Genomic DNA, 23,072 nt, shown 5'->3' with positions numbered 1-23,072 from the left:
CTGCTGATACATACATACCTGAAACTGGGCAATTTACAAAAGAAAGAGTTTTAATTGGACTTACAGTTTCACATGGCTGGGGAGGTCTTACAAGTATGGTGGAAGGCAAGGAGGAGCAAGTTACATTTTAAGTGGATGGTGGCAGGCAAAGAAAAAATGTACCAGCAGGGGAAATGCCAAATGTTTATAAAACCATCAGCTGTCATGAGAACTCACTCACTATTACAAGAACCATATGGGGGAGACTGCCCCATGATTTAATTACCTCCACCTGTCCCCTCCCTTAACATGTGGGAATTATTACAATTAAAGGTAAAATTTGCCTGGTGACACAGAGTCAAACAATATTGTATACATTAGTACAACCTCTATGGAAAACAGTATAGAGATTTCTCAAAGAACCAAAAGTAGATCTTCCATTTGATCCAGCTATCTCACTACTGGGTATCTGCCCAGAGGGAAAGAAGTCATTATATCAAAAAGACACCCACACACATATGTTTATCACAGCACAATTCACAATTGCAAAGATATGGAATTAACCTATGTGCCCAACAATTGATGAGTGGATGAAGAAAATATGGTATATAAACACCGTGGAATACTACTCAGCCATAAAAAGGGACTAAGTAATGTTTTTTGAAGTAACTTGGATGGAGCTAGAGGCTCTTATTACAAGTGAAGTAACTCAGGAATGGAAAATCAAATACTGTATGTTCTCACTTATAAGTGGGAACCAAGCTATGGGTACACAAAGGCATACAAAGTGGTATAATTGATATTGGAGACTCAGAAGGGGAAGGGTTGGAGGACAAAAAATAAAAAACTACATATTGGGTACAATGTACAATACTTGGGTGGCTGGTGCACTAAAATCTGACTTCACCACTATACAATTCATCCATGTAACCAAAAACCACTTGTTCTCCAAAAGCTACTGAAATAAAGAAAAAGTGCCTTGACATGCATGAATTCATGTAATCCTCACAACAACACTCTCCCTACTTTAAAGGTGGGGAAACTAAGGCTGGAAGAGGGGGAATATCTTCTCCATGCAACTATCTCCAAACAGAGCCAGAATGAAAACCAGGTGTGTAACACCATAGTAGTTATTTGGTCATTACTCTTCTCACTTGCCAGGAGTGAACGCTGCCCAGCCTCCTTCATTCTAGAGGTGAGGGGTACCAGGAATAAGGTTATAAATACAGTATGTCTTAAGAAAGATAGCTTACCTTTCCCAAGCCAGCGTTTATTTTGTGCCAGGCACTGTTCTAAATGTTTTTGCATGTGTATCTAATACAATCTTCTCAACAATCTTATGAGGTCGGCACAATTCTTCTTTTTTTAACTAAAGAACTTTATTAACCTTTGTCTCAAACTTTATTCCCAGGCTTCTTCATCTTAATTAGCTGCAAAGGGTGAATTGTTTATAAGCAAAAACTGAAAACAGCTGCAGTGTCCAAGGGGCTTGGGCTTAAAAATATTACAGAACTAGATTTTATCAGATCCATAAACAAAAATTTTTTAAAAGCAGTCATAATATAAAATAGCAGCTCCCAGTAACTTCTTCAAGTTTTATCTTCTTCAGAAGTTGACTCAATTCAGTTTGCCTCATTCTTGGAAGCCTCATCAAAATTTTCTACAAGATCTGGAACTTCATCATCGTCATCCTCTCCAGTAGCAAGTGGTGCTTTCCATCCACGTATTGTTTAGGCAGAGCTTCAGCCAGTCTCCTTAAACTAGCCAAACTGCACCAAGCTGGTTTAAGATGCTGCATGGCATTTCTGTCAGCTGCTTTGTCACAGCATGGCCTGTAATGGTGAAAGTGTTCACTGCTAGAGATGCCTAAACTTTAGGGTTGTTAAAGTGGATCACTGTTCCTTGGTTTGTAAACATATTCACCTCTTCAATACCAGAGACAGTGTTTACCTCTAACTTCTTTAAGGAGAACTGAAGTTTTTAATCATCTGCTGTGGCTGTTTTATGAACCACCTCCTTCTTTCTGTGAGCAGTTCCTTTCCTGCAGTTTGGTGGGTTTTCCTGGCCCATGATTGTTTCTTTCATCTTGTCGGAGTGGATGAGGGGCCGCGTGGGGGACTAGGGTTGGTGATCAGGGGTCTTGGATGGCTCAGCTGAGGTTAGGCACGCACATGCAGAGACACAAGATGGGAGATAGAGGGGCACAGTTCTTTAGTGAGGAAAATGCAGGTAGGGCATGGAGGAGAGGGACACTCAGTTCATACGCTGAGAAGACTCAAATGACTTTTGCCCTTTCTTCTTTCACCATTGTACATTCCAGAGAGGATGAAAACTCAGAGAAGTCCTTTGAGTGTTTGTGAGGTGCATACATTGGGGTATGTAAAGGCAGTGATGCCTGACAGAATGCATTTTGTAGACATAACAGGCACTCTGTTACCGTGAACCTCAGGCAACCTGTAGCCATCAAGCCTGGAGCTGGCCCTAAGAGAGGACAGAGGCATTGGTAGCAAACATTTCTTTTGGCCCAGGTAAGATGCCACTGAACCAGCCAAGCAGTAGGGTGAGGGGAACAGGCTGAAACAAAACACTTCAGAAGTCATTCCTAGAAAAATTACCTAACTCCTCTGGATATCAGTTTATTCACACACAAATGGGGCCTTTCTCCCTCCCTCCATTTCCTCCTCTCAGTGTGCATACACACACATTCATTCAGTCATTCAGTACTATTGAGCATCTGTTATGTAGCAGGCACTGTTTTAGGCACTAGATGTGTGTACAAAACAGACAAAACAGATGGTTTACAAAACAGACCAAAATTCTGTCTTCAGGGAACATATATTCTAGAAGGAAGTTATATGCTAAGTAAATGACTAAATATGTAATATGGTAGTTTTACATTCTAAGGAGAAAAAATACAGCGGGGAAGAGGGATAAGAAATATGTATGTGGGTGGTTAAAATTTTAGGTTCCTATTTCCTGCTGCATTTCCCTCACAAGGTTGTCATGAGGTTGATATGTGATAAAAAGCCCAGTATTTAGGAAGCTGTGAAGTTCCGTTTACATGTAAGGTGCAGTTATTCTTGGGCGATAATTTTTTCTAGTTCCTTATTTGCTCTTCCCTTCTCCATTAACAGTATAGTAAAGCTTCAAGAATTCTGGCCGGGAGGATGGGAAACTCAGGTTCTAGGCTTCACTCTAGCATGACAATTTTTAAAAATCCCAAATGTGTAGAACTGTACAGATTCTAAAACACTTTTCCCGGAACTGGGTCTTCTGGCTGTTAATCCTTTGTTCTTTCCACTCTTCCATGAAGCAGTAAGAGCAGTGGCAACTCATTTGCTTCCTCAGAAACAGTCTTTCCCTTCTGGAAAATGGGAATGATGAACCACCCCACCCCCACCACTACCCCTTTCCAGTCTCCTTGGGCTTTTGTGAGGTACAAATCAGATAATGCTTATGAAACAACTTTCTATGTCATAAAATAAGATTGTAAGGGCTGGTTGCTAAGGTTGCTAAGATCTAGAGAGTTGGTGCTCCTGCTTAAGCGAGGGTTTTTTTTTTTAATTTTTTTTATCCTTGTTAACTGGGTGTATGTGTGGAGTGGTGAGAGTGAGCCTTTGGAACTGGTGCTACTTCCTTTCCTTTCTGAGAAGCAGCTGAGGGGAGCAGGGGCAGCACTGAGCCCCAGCATCTCCTAGAAATAGGAACAGTTACATGGAAACACTTGGCATCTCATGATAGACTGGCAACCACTGATGTGCAGCTCATTTTGTCCACTCTGCTTTTGGGAGGTGGGAACTGGGACTCATTTCCTGAAACTTAATACACAAATGACTCATGGCCTTTAAAGACTTCCACTTGCCCCTGTGATACAATCTCATTTGGAATGCTGGGGGTGGGAAGGGGGAGCCTTGAATAGGTGAGATCTTCATTTAGTACCTCACCTTTTTCTACTATGACAATTCTTTTGTGTTGTTTTATTTTTCTTCAACTTTTAAATTCCAGGGTACACGTGCAGGATGTGCAGCTTTGTTACATAGGTAAACATGTGCCATGGTGGTTTGTTGCACAGATCAACCCATCACCCAGGTATTAAGCCCAGCATCCATTAGCTATTCTCCCTGATCCTCTCCCTCCCCCAGCCCCACCAACAAGCCCCAGTGTGTGTTGTTCCCCCACCATGTGTTCTCATCATTCAGCTCCCACTTATAAGGGAAAACATGCAGTGTTTGGTTTTCTGCTTCTGCATTAGTTTGCTGAGGATAATGGCTTCCAGCTCCATCCATGTCCCTGCAAAGGACATGATCTCATTCCTTCTTAATTCTGCATAGTATCTCATGGTGTATATGTACTACATTTTCTTTATCCGGCCTATCATTGATGGGCATTTGGGTTGATTCCATGTCTTTGTGATTGTGAGTAGTGCTGCAGTGAACATACACGTGCATATATCTTTATAAGAGAATGATTTATATTCCTTTGGGTATATACCCAGTAATGGGATTGCTGCATTAAGTGGTATTTCTGCTTCTGTATCTTTGAGGAATTGCCACAGTGTCTTCCACACTTGTTGATCTAATTTACATTCCCACCAACAGTGTAAAAGCATTCCTTTTTCTCCACATCCTTGCTAGCATCTGTTGTTTCTTGACTTTTTAATAATTGCCAGTCAGAATGGCGATGAGATGGTATGTCATTGTGGTTTTGATTTGCATTTCTGTAATGATCAGTATTGTTGAGCTTTTTTCATATGTTTGTTGGTCACATGAATGTCTTCTTTTGAGAAGTGTCTGTTCATGTCCTTTGCCCACTTTTTAATGAGGTTGTTAGTTTTTTCCTTGTAAATTTGTTTAAGTTCCTTGTAGATTCTGGATATTAGACCTTTGTCAGATGGATTCATTGCAACAATGTTCCTCCATTCTGTAAGTTGAACTATGACAATTTTTGACATACTAACTGAATTTTTCATTCCATAGAGTACTTTCAAATCCATGATCTCATCATCTCTTTGACAGGTATTATGTCTTCTATTTATAGATGAGGAAACTGAGGCTCAGAGAGGTTATGATTTGCCTAAAGCTAGGCACATATAATCACACCCTCAAATAATAGTATTTATTGTCATTTACTGAGCATTACTATGTGCTGGACATTGTTCTAAGTACTTTACAGCTTTTCACTCATTAAATCCTCATGAAAACCTACCCCTGTTTTGTAAATGAGGAAACTAGGTGACTGAGAGTCAGGGGTTTGCTCGAAATGAGGGGCAGCATGAGTATCATGACATTATACCATTCTCCCTGATTTAAAGATGAGTAAAGTGAGGCTCGATGACATTAAATAAGTTGTTCAAGTTCTCACAACTAGCAACTGGAAGAACTAAGGTTGGATCTCAGTAGGCTGGTTCTAGAGCCTGTATTCTTAGCCATTAGGCTATATACTACTTCTAACTCTTAGGATCTTCCTAGCTTGATAAACTGAAGCACGGGGTGGAGGGAGGGGGTGGGGAAAGAGAGAGAGAGAGAGAGAACTTATTAAGATCACATAATGGATTTAACATTTTAAAATTTAATATATTAATACATAATATATTTATATGCTAAAAAATCAAACTATAAAAATGTGTACAGTCTGTCTCTCTATCTACCCATCAGAGATCACAAACTTAATGGCTTTCTATGTATCCTTCCAGAGTTTCTTTATGCAGATATAAGCAAATCCAAATATATTTTTCCCCTCTTCTTTACCTAAAAGATCACACATCATAATACTAAATTTGACCCTTTAACAACATGGGGATTAGGGGCCCCAAATCCCACCCTCCATGCAGTTGAAAATCAACGTGTAACTTTTCACTCCCTAAAAACTTAACTACTAATAGCCTACTGTTGACTGGAAGCCTTATCTATAACAAACACAGTTGATTGACACATATTTTGTATATGTTTTATATACTGTATTATTACAATAAAGTAGCTAGAGAAAATAAAATGTTATTAATAAAATCCTAAGAAAGTGAAAATATATTTACTATTCATTATGTGGAAGTAGATCACCACAAAGATCTTCATTCTCAGTGTTTTCACATTGAGTGGGCTTAAGAGGAGAAGGAAGAGGAGGGGTTGGTCTTGATGTCTCAGGGATAGCAGAGGCAGACGAAGTTAAGGAGGTAGAATGGGAGGCAGGAGAGGCAGGTATACTTGGTATTAACTTTTATTGAAAAAAGTCCCGGTATAAGTGGACCTGTGCAGTTCAAACCTGTGTTGTTCAAGGGTCAACAGTATTCTGCATCTTGCTTTTTCCACATTGCATATCTTCAAAATCTCTCCCTATCAGTCCACAGAGAGCTTCAGCAGTCTTAGCTAGGCCCTCATGAATTTCTATAAGCCCCCATCTATTTATGTGTCCTGCACTCTTCTCTTCTTTACCAATATTTGGGGATGTCCAGCCCTTTCTTAACATCTTCACTTAGAGTCTCATTGCTAGACTATCTTGGCCTTCTACAGAAAATACAGCTCCTCAAAGTGAATTCCTTAGTCTCCCTCCGACATATAATCTAGCCTCTTACAAACTCCCCAGCTATACTTACCTCCTTTCTTGTTTTGCAATTTCAACATATTACCATATCCTGGCTACCTACCTGCCCACCTACCTGCTTATCTATGTGATTCTTGTTGAGTACCTCTTATAAGCAAAGCTCCATGCTTAATTTGATGATGAGTGATTGTGTCCCGAATGTCCAATGGCTTGCAGTTCAAATAAAGCTTGTAAACAAATACACCTGGACATGGAGGTCAGAGGGGCTTAGCTGACTGAATGAGTTATGAGGCTCAGGAGTGGAATTATCCAGGAGATTAGGCTCTACAACTAAACACTGGGTTCTGATACTGAGAGAAATGTTCACTCCCCACCACAGTCTTGAACTGATGCATGATTGACTTTAGCTACCCCAGAAAGATCCTGAGCTTGACAGAAAACCATTGTACTTCCTCTAAAGGGGCTTTTAGACCTTTGCTGCTCTTTTCCAACCAGTTCTCTCTCTACCCTGAGTAGAGCCAGATGGTCTGGCCTACTAGCTTGCTTGAAATAGAACTGAAAGAGGCCTAAAATAAATGTGAAATAGGCCCAAAATAGATTCATGTGAAGGAACAGAAGGAAACTGCTGTTTCCTGGGTATTTACTCAGGTATTTATTCAGTCATTAGCCACAGGAGGGTGGTATAGGCAGTTTTTCTTGAGGGAAAAGTTTCTGGGTGGTGGTTTAGGGTGGCAACTATGTCATCGGAGAACAGAAAACTAAAGAGATCTTGAAATTCTCAAACTGTAATCTTTATAGTACCTTTTGGAGGAGTACTTACTAATGAAGGCCCTTGGGGTGGGAGAAGGGTGAAGATTGGTATTCTCAGGCTGTAGCAGAGAATACTTTCCATAACAAGACTTCCTTTACATTTTACATTGCGAGTCCTCAGGGCTATGCCTTGCTCTTCATTCACTCATTCATTCATTAATTTAGTTATTCAGTCATTAAAAATATATTTATTGAGTGCTAAGCACTATTTTAGGTGCTGAGGATACAGATATGAACAAAGCAATGTGCTTTCATGGAGCTTACATTTTATAAAGGAGACAATAAATCAATAAACAATAAAAATATGTAATATTTTAGGCAGATGTAAGTCCAGCCTCTGCTTCTTGGTAGCTGTGTGACCTCAAACAAGTCTCTTGTCTCCCCAAAAGCTCAAACGGCTGACTTATTTTTAGTGGTAGATTTTTAAAAGCATTGGTAGTTTTAAATCTTCAACAGCCTTGCCAAAGGTGTGGCAGGCATACCCTTGGTCTCAGGCGGTAACCTGCACAAATGACCATGGGTGATTTGTGGCTTTGGAAAGCCAGGACTGAGGAGCTAATCACTCCATGAGAGGGTCTGGGATAATAATGCCCTCAAATTCACACTAGTTCTCAGGTCTGAAAGGCAGTTCAATAGATTATGATAATGATAGTTAACACTTACAAACTGCTTTGGAAGAGTGGCTTTGGAAAGAGATCTCAATTCAAATCCTGCTACTGCTTCCTCAAACTTGTATGGTTATGGGCAAATGATGTAAACACTCTCAGGTATAGTTACTCTTTTAAAATAATGATAACAATTTCTTCTTCTCAAACTTCTAGGGATAATTAAGTAAAATAATATGTTAAAAGGCCTAGCACCATGTGGGCCCAAAGTAGGTGAGTAGGTGTTTCCTTCTCCTCCTCCCCCTCACCTTTCATGTACTATAGAGAGGATACCTACACAGGGAGGTTGGGAGGAGATGATCTCTTTTTCCCTTTTGAACATAAAATTATTTATTTGTTCGTAATCATCAACAACTTTATTCATCACCTGATTGTGCTTGGGATACTTACTGTATGACATTGAAATTATGTGCATCACTGATTAGCTCTCCCACTAAACTGTAAAATCCCTGAGATCCACTCTGTATCCCTTAGCTGTCAGAATAAGGGCTTATTGAATTGAACTGATTTTGGAGGAGTAGTGATTTCTGTGCTGAATAATTGAACTAAACAGGAGTTTTTGTCCTTAGGGGGCAGCCTGTCTTAAATAGAGATGATACCCATGAACATGCAAGAGCATCTAGTCGTATCAGTAGCTAAGACAATAAACAGACAGGATTCAGTATCTGTAGACTGTAGCAAGCATGAGGGACTATGAGGAAGCTAGGGTAGGGGTTGGATGGGAAGTGAGCAGCAGTGGAGATCGGGACAAAAAAAAATGGAACTTTGCCTGGGAGTGCTTCCTGGCAGAAGTGGGTCTTTGGGAGCTATGCAAAACATGAGAAGCAAAGGACAACCAGGAATTTTTTTTTTTCCCTGACAGAAGGAAAAGGTTTGAGAACTAGGGATCTTGGGTTTGGGAGGTAGGCCACTGAGGCCCAGATGAAGACACTGAAACAGTTTATCCCTGTGACCTAGGAGACATCATGTCAGATGTTATTGAAAGATGGGACATGTGTCACTTATTGGCATTTATATAGAATAGTGTTTAATAGCAGACTCTAGAGCTAGACAATTTGAGTTTACATCTGCGCTCCATATCTTACTAGCCATGTGACCTTAGGCAAGTTATTTAACTTCATTCTGCCTCAGTTTCCTCATCTATAAAATAAGGACAATAATAGTACCTACCGTACCTACCTCATAGAGTTGTTGTGAGGATTAAAAGAGTTTATGTATGTACAGGGCTTCAAACAGTGCCTGACACAGAGTAAGCAGTTTGTAAGTGTTAACTATCATTATCATAATCTATTGAACTGCCTTTCAGATCTGAGAACTAGTGTGAATTTGAGGGCATTATTATCCCAGACCCTCTCATGGAGTGATTAGCTCCTCAGCCCTGGCTGTGGTAGAAGTAGTGACAACATCTGGCTCAAAGAGATGGAAGAACTTTCTACCATCTGAGATTGTCCCAAAGATGAAGGGGCTGTCTTGGGAGGGAGGAACTGCCCCATCATTATAGGTGTTGGAGCTGAGACCGGATAACCAATTAGTGGGGATGTTGCAGAAGGGATGGCAGGATGGAACTGGAGTTGTGCTAGACCAAGAGATTATCTAATTCCTTGAGACTTGTCAGCAAGAAGGAATAGATCTCGGGAGGGGTATTGCTACTCCAAATGTAGAGGACTCCATTAAAAAAAATTGTGAGCAAAGTTGATTGGTCACATAACTCAGAAAGCTACCCACACATGGACAGGGCTGGTATCAAATACCGTGTTCCAGGGTCTGAAATCTCTCAAAAGTACTTTTGAGACTTAAGATACAAGGGCTTTGGTTCCCACTCTGCCAGCAATTAGCTGTATAATCTTTGACAAGTTGCTTCCCTTCTCTGTGAACCTGGAATATAAGGGCTTAGATTTTTCTCTGTGGTTCCATCAGGTCCTGCCTTCTGTGGTTGGAAGATATGAGTCTTTGAGTGGAGACCAGTGGATGAAGGAGACATTCATGCATCCAATAGGTGTTTGTTATGAAGCACCTGCTAAGTGTCAGACACTGCGCTGGGCACAAAGGGAGAAAGCAGTGAACAAGACAGTCGTGGTCTCTGCCCTCCTAGCTTCACAGTCCAGTAAAGGATACAAACAAGAAAAAAATACAATACAGTTTAATAAATGTTTCAAGAGGGCTAAACGTAGGATCCTATGGGAGAGGACTATCATTCAGAATATTGTTGAGGAAGAGAACATTAGAGAAAGCCTTCTGGAGGTGGTGGCACCTCAGCTGAGCTTTGAAATGGGGAGCTGGAAAAATAAAGCAGCAGTTTATATAGGCCCTGAGGCAAGAGAACCTCATGAGTTATGAGAACTACTGTAGGTTCTATGTAGCTAGAGAACAGAGAATGAGAGGGCACTGGTAAGAGCTGAGGATACAGAGGCCGAAGGACATCAGATTGGCAGGACATTTTATGCCACACTACAGAATTTGCCTTAAATGCGCCGAGGAGCTATTGAAGGCCTTTGAACAGAGGCATTATATAAGTCAGGTTTCAGCTGCAAAAATAAACCACTGTAGTTCTTTTCAGCAGAAGGAGTTTTAATATAGAAAATAAAGTGCTTACAAAATTGGTGGGAGGGCTGGAGGGGCAAGCTTTAGGCTATGCCTCCAAGAACAGTGTCAGGGTAGCTGCTCTCTCTGACAAGCAGGAAGATGAGGCGTCAGGGGCTCTAGGAGCATGCTGCCTTGTCTGCAATTTAGGAATGAGGAAGCTGCCACAGCTCTAACCATCTGTTGGCTAGAGTATCACTATGCCTACCAGATCCTCAGTGACAAAAAAAAAAAAAAAAAGTCCCATTCTCTGGCTCTCAGAATGCACAAAGCCAATGGCTAGACACTGGAACCTACGGTAACACACACAAAAAAACCCCAACACTTTCACCATTGTGCTTTCCAACAGAAGCAACAGAGACATGACTTCTGGCTCACCAACCACCTCCTTCTAAATACTGTGCATGTGCATATGATTGGCATCACTATGTCATATCCAGAACGCTGGCTGCAAAGGAATCTTGGAAATGCCAGTTTATTGTTGTTGTAGTTTTTTTGGTTTTTAGCTTTTCAGCAATATAGGAAGGCAGGCTAGAAGGAGTGGATCCTTAAAAACCAATCCAGAGTATCTACCCAAGATTGACAAGAGCAAAACTGCTTTTGAGGAAAGAATTTGGGCAGAAGAGTAGAGGCTTAATTGGGGAGGGAGAGCAGCATAAGATAACTGGTAATGAATTGTGATGGATCAGAGATGATGAGGAACTGATTAAAAGTAGTGACAGCAGGAAGAGAGAAAGGGACAAATGAGAGAGATTAAGGAGGAAGAGGATCAACAGAACTAAAAGACTTGTTGGCCACCAGTGAGGTGAGGGAGAGAAAAAACTTGTAGATATTTTCTTGGTTTCTGGCAAGCTCAGTGTGTGACTGCCATTCCCAGGAGACAAAGGACTCAGGGGAAGAAGGAAACCAGCAAGAGTGGGAGGAGATGACTTCAATTTGGGACTTTTTAAGTTTGATATGCTTGTGAGATACTAAGGAGGAGATATCCAGAAAGCAGTAGAACTTTCATTCTGGGGTCCAGGAGAGCTACCTTGGAGTCATCAGCAGCTCTCTGCTTACGTGCAAGCAAGGTCCTATGTCTGTTTTGTTTCCCAGTGGTGGTGTAATTTTGTAGAAAGGAGGTGCATCAATGTGCAATGTAGATGGTAGTTCAAGCCTTGGAAGTAGATGAGCCCATTCAGTGCAAATGCAGAATGAGAAGAAAAGGGGACTGCAATCAGAAGAACTCAGAAATCATGGCATTAATGACTGGATGAAGAAGAACCCATGCAGGAAGTGAAGACAGCATAAACATACAGGTCATGTGGATGGTGTTCCCAAGGAAAAGGAGCATTTCAGGATTGAGGAAGGCATCAGTGGAGTCAAATGGGAGAAAAGTTACGAAAGGTAAAGATTGAAAGTTGGCCATGAGATTTAGTAACAAGTTGGTTGTTTTTTTTCCTATTCACAAGAGGTTTCAGTTTTCTATAGGACAATGAGGGTAAAGCCAGGATGCAGTGGGTTGAGGGGTCAAAAGATAATGAGGAAATAGAGACAGGATAAGACTGAACTTTCAAAGACTAGGAGAAAGACTGTAGTTGTTTATATTATGGTACTGTCCTGATCACCAGTATCTGTCTCAACATAATCTAGAAGAGTAGTTTTCAAACCGTTTTGACTATTACTTGCTATAAGAAACACATTTCACATTACAGGCCAGTACATTTATATTTATATATAACTGAAACAAAAGCATCATGAAACAGTATTTACGCTAACTATATGAACATTTTCTATAAATGGAATCTTACAAAAGCCTTTTTCTCACGTCTTTCACTTAGCATGTTTTCAAAGCTCATCTATGTTGTAGCATGTATCAGTAGTTCATTCCTTTTTATGGTTAAATAATACTTCATTGTATGTATATACCACATTTTGTTTACCCATTCATCAGTTGTTGGACATTTGAATTGTTTCCATCTTCTGGCTATTGTGAATAATGCTGTTATAAGCATTCATGTATAAGTTTTTGTGTTGGCATGTTTTCATTTTTCTTAGGTATATACCTATCTGTTCAGTCATATAATCCTATAATATAAGAGCAAAAAGGCTCTGAGAGATCTCCTGTATAAGGGAATCCTTGGTTTGAAGGCCCAGGGAACCACTGAAATTGTTTTTTTCTGAGGTGAGTGTTCTGAGGTTTAACTGAATTCTCAGATAAGTCTAAGTCCTCATTGACAGGAGGGAGACAGAAGACAGACCCCTGAGAGGAAAAGGGAATTGCCCAAAAGTCATACAGCAAGTTTGAGGTAGGGCTGAGAGTAAATTTGAAACCTTCTGGTCTCCACTCCATGGCTTTTCCCTCCTTAGCTCTAGATACCAGGTCACAGAGCAGGGCAATGATTAGAAGCAGATTGCAAGTTCTGTAGAGGATTTTCCATGGCGAATGTTTAACCCTATGCTGGCTTCCCTTCATAGTACCCAGAATGCTGGAAAATTGCAAGCTAACTGTCCTAGTCTGAAGAATCTATAATCAAGAAAGGAAATCTGACCAGGTAAGGGCAGTGGTATCAGGGAAAGCCAAATAGAATTGGATTTTGGAAATTCTGTCGTGTGTCCCTGTGATTCTGTCCACAACACTGGTTTGTTGGCTTTTTATAGCTAATTGTGGGTTGCCTGTAAATTCTTAGGCAGTGGCCAAAAGCACCTTTGCTTCCTCCTTGGCCCAGGCTCCAAACAAAGTGGCTGCTAGGCACATGCATTCTCCACAGCTACCTATCCGTTTTTCCCCCATTCCTTCTTTCTCCTCACCATCCTTTTTTCTGCCTTTCCCCACAATTCTCTTTCTTCATTATCTTCCCTCTCTTCTCCTTCCTCCTCGTCTTTTCTTCTTTTTCTCCCTCTTCACGTGATCTCCTCCCCTTGCATCCTATTGGGTCCCTTCCCTCCCTCTTTCCCAGTCCTTTTCCTCCCCATCTCCTTATATACCCCCTCTATCCGCCCCCAAGAAGCTCCCCACCCCCAAACCAGAACTGGTGGCTGGTGACTCTCGCCGGTCTGGGGAGAGCGAGCTTGCTTGGGAGCCTTGAGGCTCTGATTGGCGGTCGCGGCTAGCACGCCAGCGCAAGTCCCGCCCCTGGGCAGCGAACGTGCTACTGCGGCATCTGTTATTGGTCGGCGGGTATGTCAGTGGCTCTGGCCGCGCCTCACGCAAGCGCCCGCAGTCGCTCGGTGAATAAAAAGGCAGCCTATGGGCTGAGCGGGGGATGGGGAGAGAAGAGGGATAGGGCCAGCAAGGCAGGGATCGAACGAGTGTCTGGCAGCCGGGAGCCCAGCGAAGAGAGCGAGCAAGCTTAGGAAAACGAGCGAAGTAAAGGGAGTAGGGGAGACTGAGACTGACCGGTAGCCAGGCAGGCGGACGGACGCACGCCCGGACAGACTGAGCAGGCGCCGGAGAACCACTCACAGGTTCCCCCCGCCTTTCCCTTTGAAAGCTAGGATTTTGCCTTTCCCGTGGCGCCCGAGAGAGAATGCTGGACTCTGCCGACTTCAGCGCAAGCTAAGATTTCTCAGCTAGGGACAAACGATCAGCCCAATCCTGAGAAGGGGGGAACCAAGCACCCCGTCCCCATCCCCCTCCCCTCCCCCGACTAAACTCGGGCGCCAAACCCAGCCCTTCTCTAACCACCCTACTTCCTCCTCTCCTTTCTAGCATGGTGGCTGTATGGACAGTCTGACAGAACAGAGACTGACATCTCCCAATCTGCCGGCCCCCCACCTGGAACACTACAGTGTTCTGCATTGCACCATGACCCTGGATGTGCAAACTGTAGTCGTTTTTGCCGTGATTGTAGTCCTCCTGCTTGTCAATGTCATACTCATGTTTTTCCTGGGAACGCGCTGAATGGAGTCCAGCCACCTGAGCTGTCGCGAACTCTCGCTTTGATTTCATCCCGAGAGCCACCGAGAAAAAAAAAAAATCACAGACAGAGACAGGGAAAGAGAGAGAAAGAACAAGCTTTCTTACTCAGGGGGGAAAACGTTTTGAGCTTCAACATGGCCTCGCTGTGATATGTATGACGTTGGTATATTATCTCTCCCTAAATCTTTTGTCGTGTCTTGTCTTTTAAGAATGCCTGCGCGTATAGTTGCCTATTGCTTGAGTGAAATTGTTGATGAAGAAATGCTTTCTATTTAAGTGTGCATGCGTGTGTGCATTTTTAATCTATGTGGCGTTCATGGAGCAAGCTCTGCGTCCTTAAACAGTGGCTTTGCTGTCTGTGGTGTCTTAACTCATTTCCTTGAAGACTACCTTTAAACTCCATCAGGGAATTTTAGTCAAAATTTCTCTCTTGCCATCAGGAGTGCATTTGGGTTTGTTTGAGGGGAAAAGGGTTTGTGGAAGAGCATGATGAATATTTGACATCATAGGAAAGACAGTCTTTGCAGTGGATATTTAGAGGGAAAATAATCGATGCAAGGAATGGATTTAGGGAAAATGCTTCTTTAGTGTCTAAGGAGAAGCAAGAATTTGGGAAGTGACACGGGTGTGTTGTGCTGGCAGTTGGTGACTGTGTCCTTTGAATCTCAATTTGCTCTCCAGGGTTCACAATTTTCAATTTTGAAAGAAGCCACATTTAAAACACTTCTTGAACCTTAAAGCTTTAAGATATTTAAAATGTCAATTTCCTTGGAATCATGAAATAGTATGTGAAAGCATTCTCTGATTTTTTGAACTGGCAAGAGAGGACTTTGACAGGAGCTATTTGGGCTCCCTTTCCCAAAGATTGTACCCCTGGATTTGAGTTTGGGGATTTTGTTTGTCTCATCAAAAAAAAAAAAAAACCCCACAAGAAAGAAAAAACAGCTCTTTATCCACCTTGGGAATAATAGTATTTGGATATGGCTCCTTTGGGATAATCTCGTTTGCAATGATGTTCTTGAACTACATTTTAAATGTAACTTGATAAGGCTGATGAGAAAGTGGTGATGCTATTGTTTGCTCCCGTTTGTTACTTTAAGATCAGAGGTCTCTGTAATTGAAACATTCCCATAACAAACTGAAAGTCTGTAATGTGCTAAATTAAGAGTTATCAAATTTTGGTGCTAAATTTGACCACCAAAACCCAAAAACGTCTAGAAGGAAAGGGATGAGAGCATGGAAAACATGAGCTGGAAGCAACATTCCAGTTTGAGATATGACTGCTTGTCTGTATCAGATGGTGGTGGTGGTTTCTGTTGTTATTGCTATTGCTATTATTTTTATATTTCTGTTTCCTCTGAGAAAGCTCTTGGCAGAGCCAGGAAAAAAAATGTCTCATGCCAGTCTGTATAATACTTGTTTTTTTGCGTTTTGATTTTCTTTCTCCCCTGTTAATGTAGGCAGGCTTTCCCCATTCCATTGCTTACCTGGCTTGAAATAATGCCATTTATGGCTCATGTATTATAGCAGTGAATCAGGACACATACACATCTACACACATGCTCCCCCTCCACCCATGTGGGTGGCTGTTCATGTCTGATGTGCAAATCTGCTGGCATTATGCTGTCAAGTTCCATGTCCGGTTGTTCAGTCTCTTTGGAAATGATTATGAAAGGAGAGGGGCTGTGAAGGGGGCCTTTGAAATTGTCTTGGCCACAGGACCCAGAGAGTATTATTTAATGGCGTCAGAGGGTGTTTTGGGCCTCAAAGCATGCTATCCTTGACTTGGTGTGGGTGAGAAGCTGAGGTTTTTGTGAGATTAGTACCATGGTGTAAACATGATCTGGGAGGTTTGCTGGCATTGGTTCTTATTAATTACTCTTTGGTCCGTTTGTGGAGACCCCCTGGATGGAACTGAGAACCTATTTCTTTGCAAAGATAATTTAGTGAGTTTTTTTCCCCCCTTAGCTTCATTGTATTATTTAAAGTAAGCTTATATCTTTTCTGGGCACTTTGTTTTGATACAGTGTTGGAGAGTGGGGAATGGCTCTATGCTGGGCAGCTGCAGACCTGTTTTTTTGTTTTGTTTTGTTTTGTTTTTTGTTTTTTCCATTCAGCAGCTGTTTGACCTTGGACAATTTTTTTCCTCCTCGGTGGGTTTGGGATTCCCAGTAACATTGGCATTTTTTGATGGCTCCACTAGGTGACTTCCAAGTTCTTGCATTTTATGATTTTATGACCCCTAGACACTTGAAGTTGTGGGGGGTGGGGGGGATGAGCTGGAAAGACAAGTGAAAAGGAAAAGAAAATGTTAATCAAAGGGTGATGGGAGGAGGGGAAGGATATCTGGTACTACAGCCTGGATAACAAGTTTAAGCGAAGGGGTTTTTTTTGCCTAGTTATTTGGGAAGGAAACTGGGACAGCAATAAGGGAATGCTTTTTGACTTTTTTTCCCCCAAGGGGAGAAGGGGTCTCTGAGACTAGTCTTTGATCTAGGTTTATGACTTAAATAGTGTCACGAAATGCCTTCTCCTCTGTGAGCCTGACAGACCTTTGGCAGAAAGCCTCTGGGAATGTATGTGTGTGTGTAGGGTGTGTGGCAGTATGTTCATGGGGGTGTGTGGGGGGGAGCACACTCCTGAGTGTGGATGCGGGGTGTGGTGGTAGGAATGAAGAAAGACAGTATTGAGTTCCACAGTTCTGAATAGCCTCCTTGTGCTAGGACCTATAAGGATTTCACAAATGCTGGGATGGATGGGTATCACCCATGCCATTCCTCTTTTCACCACCTAAAACCCCTCAGGCTAAGGAGGTGTCTTGAATGAGCCCTTCCATTAGTAATTTAGCTGTTGAAATGGGTTAGCGCTTTTAAAATTGTCTCCAGGCAAATAAAGGGATGTTGCTAGCCAGATGGCAGGCCACCATCTAGCAACCAGAAGGGAATTTGAGAGTAGAGAACAAAAGGTAGCAGTGTGACTTTTTACTTGTGTGAATCCTAAAGGTTTGGCATTTCTGCTTCAGACTTGTGAGGATATTTTTCTCTAGCAAAAAGAGAAAAGAGTGGGAGAAAATGAGAAATGCAGCCCAGAGAAGCGGAACCCTATGCATTTTGACTTGTCTTCTTTTTTCCTTCCTCCTCTGCCTTCTCTCTTAATCTTTCTCCTTCTTCCTTTCTTCCCACCCCTGACACCACCTCCTCCTCCCACCTCCCCACTGTAAATGGGTGAGAAGTAAAAAAGAGAAGAGGACTTTTCCTCTCTGATTTGTCCCAACTTTTCCCAATAAAGCTCCTCCATTCCCTTCCCTCCTCTCTGGCCCCTTTGAGTAGAGGATAAGCTTTTGCCATGTAGGAGGGGCAAAATCCCAGCTTAGGGATTTTCGCTCCTGGATCCCCATCAAAGAATTAAAGAAAATGCCCTCTACTGGTATCCTAGCAACCCCTGTATCACTGAGCACCCACTGAGCTCCAGAGCCCACCCTTTAAAGGCCCAGGCACCAATAACTCTAGAAAAAGGGGACTAGAGCCTAGTGGGACTTGGAGAGATGCTTTTGGGGAGGGAACAAAGAAAGAACAGAATCCCAATTTCCTGCAAATGCCTCGGAAACATGTCCACAGCAGACATGTAGAGCCTAGCCTCGTCCAGCTATGAGATTATTTATTAGAAAACTCCTGGTTTCAAATTCCTTTCTAGTCAGTCCCATCTCCTTAAGATTAACTGTGCCATTTTACTGCCTAGCTTTAGTGCCAGAAGCTCTGCCGGTCCTGAAAAAACAATTTTTTTCACCCTAACTTTTGGCTGCATCAGGGAGGGGGTGAAGTGATATCTTGGTGGGAACAAACTGAACAGCATTCTTCTTCCATTGAGACAGCCTCCATCTGTCAGAACCTGCAGTGTGCTTGTGCAGTGTGCCCCAATTTTGTCTGTGGCTTGGGGAATCCTGATCAGCCTAGCTTTATAGAATTTGGGAATTTTTCTTTCTGTGGTTTTGGTGTAGTAGTTTCTGACGGGGGAGGCTGGACAAGTTGAAAGAGCAAGTTTGATAATGGAGCTGGTAAACAGGGCTTGGACCCTGGCTCAGAGACTCTCACCCACCGGTGTGTGTGTGATTCAGCTACTAGGGAGCTGAAAGATCCCAAAAAGGCTGTAGGTGAGGTGCTCTTCTGCCCTTGAGGTAAGGCCCAGATTGAGAGCAACCAGAGGGCACAGTCTGGTGGTTTGAAGGATGGTAACAAAGCATGTCTTCCTCTTTAGCCTTTGTCTGCCATCTCAGTTTCTGGTCCCTTGACCTGCAGAGTGCTTGCTCTGGGCAGGGATATAAGAATTGAGCCTTTTCTCCCAAAATAACTGCCTCCTCAGAAGACCTCCTACAAGGCATCTGGATCTTGCTCCAGTGGCTTTGCCCCAAGAAATGGGATGGAGGAGGGGAATCTTGGACTCTCTAGCTCTTATTTCCAGCTCTGCAACTTGTTCTAGGCCAACTGAGTCTCTGGCTTTCCAAGAATCCTTGATGAAGGTTTAGCTTCTCCAGTATCTGCTCAGAGTGTCTCCTTCTGTCTTAGGTGGATCTAGCTCCATAGAGTATTTAGTTTATTGTACTTTGCTCTAGCACGAAAGTACAAAGAGGAAAAACTAGAAGGGGAAGAACATAGAGGGGAGAGAAGGCTCAGGAAGCAGTCCAGTAATGACAATACTAATAACTCCTTATCAGTGCACGGGCCTATAGCGTTTATGAAGGAATTTCACATCCTTTCTAACTTGAGCATCACATCAGCCTTGTGAAGTGGGTAGAGATGATTGTAATTCCCAGTGTTACAGATGAGGAAAGTAAAGGTCAGCAAGATTGTTGGGATGGGAGTGGGTCTGCCTTTCAAATAGAGAGGAGAGTCAGAGTTGGTCATTCCTAACTAGTGTGATGTTGAATGTAGGGAGGGAGGGCCTGACGTGGTGGCTCACGCCTGTAATCCCAGCACTTTGGGAGGCTGAGGCCGGTGGATCACCTGAGGTCAGGATTTCGAGACCAGCCTGGCCAACATGGTGAAACCCTGTCTCTACTAAAAATACAAAAATTAGCCGGGCGTGGTGGCACACGCCTGTAGTCCAGCTACTTGGGAGGCTGAGGCAGGAGAGTCACTTGAACCCAGGAGGCGGAGGATGCAGTGAGCCGAGATCATGCCACTGCACTCCAGCCTGGGTGACAGAGCGAGAGTCCGTCCCAAAAAAAAAGAAAGAAAAGGAAACAAAAGAAAGAAAGGAGATTTGGGAGTCATCCCTGAAGTCATACTAGCTTCCTCAGCTACTCACATTTTTAATAACTTTCATTTGTATAGCACTTTTGCTCAGAATTTTCATTCTATAAAATGCCTTTTTGTCTTGAATATGCATCAAAGAGTTCTGTTTAGTTTTATGAAAACTCACTATTTGGGATCTTCAAGGTGAGAGGCCAGTGTGAATTGCTGAAGCCTAAAATACAGAATGTTTTCAAGGAACTGTAGTTTTAATACAATTGTTCTTCTCTTTGAAGCACACTTATTTTTCTATATTTCTTTAAAAATCTGCTGCCTAGAACTGTTCATGCTACTCTAGGTGCCACCTGACTGAGATCAAGTGCAAAAGAACTTTGTTTTGTCTGTGAAATGTCTAATAATGCAGCCTTCTACTGATTCTCAACCCTCACTGAACATTCAGATCACTTGGGAAGCTTTTTTTTAAATACCCATGCCAGGTCCCCTATCTGAAAGATTCTGATTTAATTTTCATGGGCTAGATCCCAGGGAGCTTTATTTATTTATTTTTTTAATTTAAAGTTCCCTAAGGTGATTCAAATGTGCAGCCAGGGTTAAGAGTTAGCCTTTTGAGCATGTAGGTCCAAACCATTTACTGTCTAGTCCAGTCCTCTACTCTCTTGTGAAGTTGGCCACTTCAGGGTTTTTTGAACCAAACTTGCTACATTTTATCTTGACATGTTGGTCCATTATTCTAGCTTTCTGTGGATTTTAAAATTTTTTCTTCATGCTGTGCTACAAATTAGCAGTCCCTTCTAGCACTGCATCAGTTAAATTCTATTTGTTTGGTTGGACTATTGTTCTAGCCTTTGGGAGGTTTTTATTTTTTTTCTTCATGTCACACAACAGGTTAGCAGCCTCTTCTAGTGTTGCATTATTTGAACACCAAATAAATGGCATTCGAGTCGTTGATTCAAAGAAATGTTTACTATGATATGATTAATGCTAGCTCTTCTGTCACCTCACCAGAGCCCCTCTTGGAGTTGGGACTTGTTAATTTTTGTATGTATCTGGTCAACCAGTGCAGACTGCACCTGGTTGTGCCAGCATTTATCCTACCAGGGTGTTAATGTGAATAACATAGCACGATAGATTTGTTGTATGCTTTGTGGGCATCAAGATATGCTAGGTTCATAGCAAGCATCTGCCAAACTGATAGCCCCATCAGAAAAAGCAGTATAAGTTACTTGGCCTCTTACTCATGGTAAATCTGGTTGCAGGCTCCAGAGCTTCTTGTTTTCTTTCTGTGCCTACAATGCAAATGTTTCTAAACTGGGTTCAGAACTTGGCTGAGGGTCAGTACTACAACTGTAGTTTCTGTGTATTACTTTCTCCTCTTTGAAAAAGCAGGACATAATGGATTTAGCTTTAAAACAGAATATATTTTGTGCTCAAAGAGTTCCGGAAATTCTTTGTGTATGTTTCTCTTGTTGTTTTGCTTAATTGTTTCCATTAACCCAGTGGTTCTCAGCACTGGCTGCACATCGGAATCACCTGGAATATTAAGAGTAACAACAATTCCTAGAATCTTTGGGAGAGATCTGATTGAGTTGATCATAGTGGTTTCCTGGCATCAATATTTTTCTAAGAGTTCCCTGAGGTGATGGGAATGTTCAGCCAGGGGTGAGAATGACTGCTATGGAATGCTTCATAGGAAATGTTAGCTCAGCCTGTCTGACTTATCACACATGTGACTAGGCAAGCTTCACAGATGGTGAAATTTTATTCTAGGACTGTGGGAGCCTCGATAAGTCCCAGGGGCTTGTGCTCACTCTAAAAAGGAGGAATCAACCCTAGGGAATGAGTAGTCTGGAGACCTAATTGTATTTAAAATAATCAGCTGTGAGATGGTTTGAACACTTCAGGAATAAAAAAAAAGTCAGTTCCTACACATTTGCTGTAATGATGGGGAAGATTCTGCTCATTTGCTAGTGACCTCAGGCAAATTACTTCTCTCCTCTGAAATTTGGTTTTCTTCATCAGCAAAATAAGGATAGGTGGATTTGATGACTTCAAAGATTTCTTCTAGCTCCAACAATATGTGCTTATTTTGTGATTAATATTAATGATCAACACGAGTACAGATATTATTTAAATCTAGCAGGTAATCCAGAGATCCATTTTAGCAGGTTTAGAATACACAGAGTGGTTTTAAGGATAGCAGTTTTGCCTTCTTAATTATACTTGGCTTAGGTTTCTTTTAGAACAAGTGAACTTAGGTTGTATTCTTTGAGCACACACTGGCCGCCAAGCAGGAAAGGAGACTGTATGAACACGCATTGGCTGCCAAACAGGGAAGGAAGTGGTACAGTGAATTGAGTAGCTAGGGTATGCCAGTTTGGGATTCTGTTTATTAAAGAGATATGTCATGGATAATTGAGAATTGCCTCTCATAGATATAATACCAGTCTCATAGGTCTGAAAAAGATGGATTGCTTTGACAGCTCAGAGCCCCTTCCTGCAGTATTTTAAGTAGCCATTCACTTGGTTAATAATACTACTTCTATTAATAAGAATTTCAACAAATAAGGTTTCCTATGTATTTCATGGGCTTCTTCCTCAAACCTAAAAGTAGTTAAGAAAGTGAGGCTCATAAAGATTAAGCAGCTTACTCAGTGTCAAACAGGTAGTGGTAGTGACTAGTGGTAGTGGTAGTTCTAGTGGCCTAGAACCTAGGCGTCTTGATACCACATCCTGCAGTGCTTCTGGTATAGCCTGCATAGTGGACTCTGTGGTCAGGATGCAGTCATGACTCTGAGAATTAAAGGGGTTTTACTGACATAGAGCAGTATTCAGGAGGAAGCTTTGAAGAAAGGAGCAAAAGGGGCAATGTGGAGGAAGAAAAAAGGTTTAGAGAGGGATGTGTTCAGGCCAGTTTTTCTCTTGCCCTTATCACTCTTATGTGCTAGTTCCAGGCCCCTGATGGGAATTGGCCATTGATCTTTGAGCACCAAGGTTGAGTGTTGGTAGCAGAGAAGAAGGAAAGTTGTACATGCATGGCAGAAGGATAGCATAGGGAAGGCAGACTTGCAGTAGGAGAAAAAACAAGAAAAGGCCTTAGGAGCCCTAGGATTAAGCCCTGGCTCTGTACCTACCTTGCTGCCAGATCTTGATCAAGGCCCTTCCCACCTAGGCGTCAGCTTCCACGTCACTAAAATGAGAGTGGTTTCAGTAGAAGAACTATGTTCTCAAATGGAATGTTAGCCAGAAGCTTCTATATAAAACAGGAAAAAGCACAGATGGTCTGGTTGAAATGGGCATGGGACAGGTATGGAGGACAGAGTCTAAAGTTCCAGGGAACCATCTTGCGTATGC

General features: G+C 42.2%; 2 protein-coding genes and 1 pseudogene across 28 annotated transcripts in view, besides 3 other annotated features; 2 read left to right on the top strand and 1 right to left on the bottom strand.

Annotated features, from left to right (window-relative positions):
- ARHGEF9 (Cdc42 guanine nucleotide exchange factor 9) overlaps window positions 1-23,072 on the top strand; it is a 150,248-nt gene that overhangs the window by 16,276 nt on the left and 110,900 nt on the right. For 4 of the 27 annotated variants that reach the window (NM_001173480.2, NM_001353927.2, NM_001369033.1 and 1 more), the window contains exon 1: window positions 13,816-14,624. The exons of 3 other annotated variants lie outside the window; for them this stretch is intronic. Coding sequence is in view for 10 of the 24 variants with exons in the window: in NM_001353923.1 (NP_001340852.1) it covers window positions 13,734-13,781 (48 nt within the window). In the remaining 14 variants the exon portion in view is untranslated. Of the gene's footprint in view, window positions 1-13,028; window positions 13,106-13,722; window positions 13,782-13,815; window positions 14,636-23,072 lie in introns of those variants that run through there. 20 more of the 27 variants (NM_001369039.1, NM_001369030.1, NM_001369045.1 and 17 more) reach the window with 10 other exon arrangements.
- On the bottom strand, window positions 1,351-2,180 carry BTF3P8 (basic transcription factor 3 pseudogene 8; annotated as a pseudogene).
- Window positions 13,617-13,776: a silencer, noted in NCBI's record as "silent region_20876". NCBI's record gives its function as "represses an Ori minimal core promoter by ATAC-STARR-seq in GM12878 lymphoblastoid cells {active_cell/tissue: GM12878}" and the evidence as "EXISTENCE:reporter gene assay evidence [ECO:0000049][PMID:35858748]".
- Window positions 13,617-13,930: a biological region, named in NCBI's record as "Sharpr-MPRA regulatory region 13270".
- Window positions 13,636-13,930: an enhancer, noted in NCBI's record as "tiled region #13270; HepG2 Activating DNase unmatched - State 4:PromP, and K562 Activating DNase matched - State 11:FaireW". NCBI's record gives its function as "activates a minimal TATA promoter and a strong SV40 promoter by Sharpr-MPRA in HepG2 and K562 cells {active_cell/tissue: HepG2 | K562}" and the evidence as "EXISTENCE:reporter gene assay evidence [ECO:0000049][PMID:27701403]".
- Window positions 14,275-14,454, top strand: LOC128031833 (uncharacterized). The gene has a single exon (NM_001414729.1). It carries the CDS (start codon window positions 14,275-14,277, stop codon window positions 14,452-14,454), a length of 180 nt encoding a protein of 59 aa, NP_001401658.1.

The sequence above is a fragment of the Homo sapiens genome, chromosome X (assembly GCF_000001405.40).
Source record: "Homo sapiens chromosome X, GRCh38.p14 Primary Assembly".
NCBI lineage: Eukaryota > Metazoa > Chordata > Mammalia > Primates > Hominidae > Homo > Homo sapiens.
Note: the sequence above shows the minus strand (reverse complement) of the source record. Positions and strands in the feature narration are given on the sequence as shown.